Source organism: Homo sapiens, chromosome 1, assembly GCF_000001405.40.
Source record: "Homo sapiens chromosome 1, GRCh38.p14 Primary Assembly".
Lineage (NCBI taxonomy): Eukaryota > Metazoa > Chordata > Mammalia > Primates > Hominidae > Homo > Homo sapiens.
This window is the reverse complement of record NC_000001.11, coordinates 64,356,584-64,363,056: the sequence shown is the minus strand read 5'-3', so window position 1 is coordinate 64,363,056 and position 6,473 is coordinate 64,356,584. Positions and strand designations below refer to the sequence as shown.

Here is a 6,473-nt window from a genome sequence, read left to right as displayed (position 1 = left end):
TGAAGGCTTGAACCACTTAATCTAGGTTGGTGTGAATGTAACTGTGGTTTTTGCCATAATATATATAATATATATTATATAATTATATAATTTTTATATTACATATTGCTTATATTATATATATATAAATAAAATATAAGGTTCTTCCCCTGCAGTTACCATCTACAATTGGTTTCAGTATTTCTAAAGAGGATTCTCATGCACTTCTGAAAGGAGTTTGATTCTCTCCAGAATTTTCCCAAGTCATTTCACAGTGTTCTCTAATAAACGCTGTCTTTTTAAAAAGAAAATAAGCATGGCGTTTTGTCCTCAAACTGGCCACCCACTGTCCTACTGAGTCAAAATATATTCATGAAATACAGTTGTATTTTGCAGAGGTATAATTCACAGAATTCTCAAGGATAGATATATCTGGAGAAATTGTATCCCAAATAAAATTCAAATTTCTCACTCTTCTCAGAATTTATTATTGTCCAAGAGTGGCCACAGGCTGAGCAGGTTTTTCCTGCCAGATAATATAGTTATCTTTTTTTTAAGTTGTGGTAAAATGTACATAAACATTGATTATACCACTGTAAACATTTTTAACTGTAGTGGTTAACAGAATTAAGTACATTCACAGTGTTGTGTAACCATCACCACCATCCATCTTTAGAACTTCATCTTCCCAAACAGAAGCTCTATACCCATTAAAAATCTTCATTCTTCTCTCTAGTAAGCCCTTGGCAACCATCATTCTACCTTTTGTCTCTATGAATTTGACTACTCCAGGTACCATATTTAAGTGGAAACTTACAATATTTGTCCTTTAGTGACTGACTTGTCTTTAAGATTCATCTATGTTATAGTATGTGTCAGAATTTCCCTTCCTTCCTTCCTTCCTTCCTTCCTTCCTTCCTTCCTTCCTTCCTTCTTTCCTTCCTTCCTCTCTTTCATCTTTCTTTGTTCTCACCCTGTCGCCCAGGCTGGAGTGAAGTGGCACGATCACGGCTCACTGCAGCCTCAACTTCCTGGGCTCAAGCAATCCCTCCTCTTCAGCCTCCCAAGTAGCTAGGACTGCAGGCATAAGCTACCATGCCCAGCTAATTTTATTTTATTTTTTTAGAGACAGGGTCTCGCTATGTTGCCCAGGCTGGAAATTTTCTTCTTTATTTAAGGCTGAAGAATATTCTGTTGTATGTATATATCACATTTTGTTTATAAATTCATCCGTAGATTGACATTTGGACTTTTCTACCATTTGTCTATTGTGACTATTGCTGCTATGAACGTTGATATACAAAGGTTGAGTCTTGCTTTTAATTCTTTTGGTATATACCCAGAAGTGGAGTTGCCGGATTATATGGTAATTCCATGTTTAAATTTTTTAGGATCTGTCATACTGTTTTTCAGTGACTTCACCATTTTACATTCCCACCAGCAACGCACAAGGGTTCCATTTTCTCCACATCCTTGCCAACACGTGTTATTTTCTGTTTTCTGACAATAATCATTCTAATGGGTGTGAAGTGGCATCTTGTGGCAGTTTTGATTTGCAGTTCCTTTATGATTAGAAATGTTGAGCATCTTTTCATGTGCTTATTTAGCCATTTGCATATCTTCTTTAGAGAAATGTCTATTCAAATATTTGCTCATTTTTGAACTGGGTTATTTGTGTATTTGTTGTTGAGTTGTAAAAGTTATTTAGATATCCTGGATATTAATCCCTTATCAGATATGTGATTTGCAAATATTTTCTCCCATTCTGGTGGGTTACCTTTTTACCTTGTTGATGGTATTCTTTGATGCACAGAAGTTTTTAATTTTGATAGTGTCCAATTTATCTATTTTTTTCTTTTGTTGCTTGTACTTTTGGTTTCATATCCAAGAAATCATTGCTAAATCCAATACAATGAAGGTTTTGCCCTATGTTTTCTTCTAAGAATTTTATAGCTTTAGCTCTTATGTTTTGGTCATTTTTATATATGGCAGAAACTAAGGGTTCAACTTCATTCTTTTGCATGTGGATATACAAGTTTCCCAACACTATTTGTTGGAAAGACTGTCCTTTACCTATTGAATGGTCTTGGCCCCCTTGTTGAAAATCATTTGACCTTAAGTGGGAGGATTTATTTCTGGGCTTTCTATTCTATTTCATTGCTCTGTATGTCTGTCTTTATACCAGTACTAGACTGTTTTGATTATTGTAGCACTGCAGAAAGTTTTGAAATCGGGAAATGTGAGACCAATATTGTTTTTTTTCAATGTTGTTTTGGCTATATGGGGTCCCATGAGATGCCATATGAATTTTAGGACGGGTTTTTCTATTTCTGCAAAAACATCATTGAAATTTTAATAGGGATTGCATTGGATCTGTATATCACTTTGCATAGTGGTAACATCTTAACACTAGTAAGTTTTCCAGTCTATGAATGTGGGCTGTCTTTCCATTTATGGGTGTCTTCTTTCATTGCTTTTGGCAAAATTTTGTAGTTTTGAGTTTATAAGTCTTTCGCTTCCTTGATTGTTTGTTTCTAAGTATTTTATTCTTTTTGATGGTACTGTAAATAGAATTGTTTAATTAATTTCCTTTTTTTGGTTGTCTATTTTTGGTATATAGAAATGCAACAGATTTTTGTGCATTAATTTTTTATTCTGCAACTTTGCTGAGCTTATTTATTCTAACAGTTTATATTATGTGCAAACAATAACAGCAAATGTATGCCATTTTTGTTTTTTCTTTTTGGACACAGGGTCTTGTTATGTCACTCAGTTGGAGTGCAGTGGTGTCATCACAATTCACTGCAGCCTCAAATTCCTGGGCTCAAGTGATCCTCCTGCCTCAGCCTCCCATGTAATTGGGATTACAGGCACGTACCACTATACCTGGCTAACTTTTTATATTTTGTAGAGATGGGGTCTCACTATGTTGCCCAGGCTAGTCTTGAACTTCTGGCCTCAGATTATCTTTCCTCTTTGACCTCCCAAGAGCTAGAATTACAGGCATGAGCCACCATGAATGGACATTGTTTTTCTTTTAACTGAGGACACAGCTATGAAACAGAAATAATTGATCCCTTTTTCTTTTCTCTCTCTCTCTCTGTGTGTATGTGTGTGTGTGTGTGTGTGTTTCAGATAGAGTTTTACTTTTGTTGCCCAGGCTGGAGTCCAATGGCATGATCTTGGCTCACTGCAACCTCAGCCTCCCAGGTTCAAGCGATTCTTCTGCCTCAGCCTCCCGAGTAGCTGGGATTACAGGCGCCTGCCACCACGTCTGGCTAATTTTTGTATTTTTAGTAGAGATGGGGGTTTCACTATGTGGCTAGGCTGGTCTGGAACTCCTGACCTCAGGTGATCCGCCACCTCAGCCTCCCAAATGGGATTACAGGCATGAGCCACCACGCCTGGCCCTCTTTTTCTTTTTTATGAACAATTAGCTGTGAAAATGCTAACCTTTAATGAGTCCCTACCATGAGCCATATTTAAAGTTAAGAATTTGCACCATGACCCTGTGAGGAGGGTATTGTTATACTCACTTTATAAATGAGAAAACTAAAGACTCAGAGGTGAAACTGATTCTAAAAGACTATTTAAAATACAGGTCATCTGTCTGGGTTAGGCCAAGGGAACAGTCTCAAAGTTAAAACAAAAGAGGGCAGCTACCATGATGCAAGCCAGGGAAGCTGGGAGGAAAAATACTTTAAGCCAGTGAAGAGGTGAGAATTCTTGTACCAAATGTGAACTACTTGTTCCCAGAAAATTCACTGGCTTAAGACTAGAATGAGACCATTTTAGTCTTGATACAAAACATGAAAGCAGCTGTCAGGCAACGGTGTTAATATTTGGTGCCCTGATAATGAAGAATAAGATTATCACTGACCTTGGCCAGTTTTCTAGAAGGTTCTCTGATTGTAATCTTTTATTTGAAATTGATTACAGACAGTTTCCCTGACTGTTAGCTGGGCCTATCCTGGAAGCTAGTCTTTAATCTTTCTAGAGAGGAGTGAGATGGCACAAGTTTTTCATGTCTGAATACCTTAGTGGCTTTTCCCCTCATGTTCTTTTGTTATTAAGATGCCAAACCCGTTGGAGATGCCTGATTAGTTTTGCAGAGGGAGGAATCCACTGTTATGACCTTTCATGCCTTATTTTTAACATGCCTTCTTGTAGCACAAGTTCTCCTGCCACGTATCACAGATCACAATGTGAGTTATGAGTCCCCGACTGAAAATCGGAGTATGTAACTGCTTCATGGTCCATTTCCAACCTGTAGGTCCAATCTCCAAGGAGGTAACTGAAAAACATCCCTTATGGATTTCAACATAATATCTTACTGATTTTCTTTCCTCTTAGGGCTGACAGCAACTAAAGATTACATCGACACCTCAAAGGAAGAGTGCAGTAAGAAACAGGCAGATAGTTCCCCCAGCAGGCTTCTGGCAGGACTTAGAACTTCTGATTATTTTCATGATGATGGTGATGAAGTAGGAGGAGACGATGGACAAAAATCATTAAATACATATTCAAAAGAAATCTCGAGAATGATACTACACCTCGGTAACTTTAAACCTGACTTTTGTCTATCACTCCATTCCTAGGTGACATTGTTCCCCATATTATAAATAATACCAGTGCAATGTTAAGAAATCCTGGAATGCTGGCTCACCTGGCAAAAAGATGTCAGTTTAGTTTGGTTTCATCAGCGTAATATTATAAAAACTGCAAAATGATCAACTCTCATGACACCTTTTCTGTCCCAGCTAATGAGAAATGGGTTTCTTAATGGCAGGCGCTGACTATATTTTAAGGAGTAAGTACTGATAGATGGACTGATTAGTTCTGAATTCAAGATTCTGTAACATAGCATCTACTGTACTAAAATGACAGCTACTTGTGTATGTGTTATGTGTCTTCCCTGGAAGTTTGCAAGCTTCCTGAGTTTTGGACTCTTTTTGCCCTCACCTTTATATAGCAGGGTGTTGCATGTCATAGGCACTAAACAAACTCATTTATTCAACAGGCTTTTTTTCTGAGACCCACTAGTACACCAGATACTAGCACTGAGATGAAAAAGACAAACCTTTATCCTGGAGAAACTCTGAGTTGGTGGAGAGACAAGCATCTATTATAAATCAGTGAAACCATAGTTTCAGTTATAAATGCTAAAATAGAGAGCTGGGGCTGAAGAATGCCAGTAGAATGCAAGACCGGTTTATAATTAATTATGTTTGGACATAGGGGTGGCAAGTGAAGTTCAGCTTTGTGTTTTCCCACAGGCAAACCAAGTCAGAAACCTTACTGTGTCCTCACGTTCCCTGAAATATTTCCAGCAAGAAAGGCCAAAGGAACAGCATTACCCTCTACCAGCCCCTAACAGGCGGTGGGAAACACCCAGGGAACGCCTCTGCTGAGCTCCCAGATCTTCCCACACCTAGCCTGAGGGCTGTCAAGAGGCCGCTGACCCTGGGGGCGGCGGGGGTGGGGGTAGGGGTGGGAGGTGGGGTTGCTTTGAAAAGTTTTGCTCTCAGCACCTCTGCCAGCTTCCAGGGTAGAGACCTCTCCTGCTAAAAATAGCAGCAGGAGGAAGAGATTCAAAAGCAGGAAGCAGAAAGGGGCTGAAGGAGATGTGGCTCCTAATGGCCTGGAGGGAATAAAGGAAGAAGGGAAGGAAAAGAAGGAAGAGAGGAAGGGAGGAAGGAAGGCAACGTCCTCTGCTGGGAATTTCCAGCTCTGTTACTTCAATGCCTCAACGACGCTGTGAGGTACCTACTATTATTGCCCACTTTTCAGAGCCAAACTAGTTAATTCATACAACTTTATGGAGTGTCTCCTCTGCGAGGCACTGTTGGACGCCCTAAGATACCGTTGAGGCCCTGGTGGGGAAACCGAACCTTGGGGAAGCAGCAGCAGCGTGGGATCCCATCCTCCTTGGGCTAGGCTAGGGGGGCTGCCAGGCGTGGGGAAGGCCTCCTTCCCTGGCATCTCCAAGGCGGCTTGCAAGTGCTTGCAAGGGGCGGGGCAGGGTCCCGGGAGGGAAGAATTTCTCTCTTGCCTGTGAAATCGCTCCAACTGCAGCCCCCAAGAGGATTTACAACCTATTGAGGCTTGGCTCTTGAATATCCATGGAAAGGCATATGAAAAGGGACAGAAAGTTGAGCAGATTCGATGAGACTTTATGATTTCATTTTCATTTCAAAGCCTTGTTAGCAGTTGGGTGGGAACGGGCACAGCAGTCCCCAGGAACGCTCCCTCTTCCTCCTCCAGGCAGGAGGATGTGTGAGCAATCTTGGGTCTGGGGAGGGGGCTGGACCTGGAGAGAACTGGGAAAGGTTGCTTTAGGGCTTTCTTTTGGGAACTGAATTTTAAAGGATAAAACAAAAATATATTCAACAGATCTTTCCAGAACCAGCAGTGTACGGTATCCGGTACTGGGAATGACTAGGAATTAGGATAGAGAAGGTAGTTACAAAGGAATCTGTAAGAAATTAGAACTG

At 40.2% G+C, this 6,473-nt stretch overlaps 1 annotated feature.

Moving 5' to 3' along the window:
* Positions 3,808–4,307: an enhancer, noted in NCBI's record as "H3K4me1 hESC enhancer chr1:64824433-64824932 (GRCh37/hg19 assembly coordinates)". NCBI's record gives its function as "activates a minimal SCP1, AML or CMV promoter by ChIP-STARR-seq in naive H9 embryonic stem cells {active_cell/tissue: H9 hESC(naive)}" and the evidence as "EXISTENCE:reporter gene assay evidence [ECO:0000049][PMID:30033119]".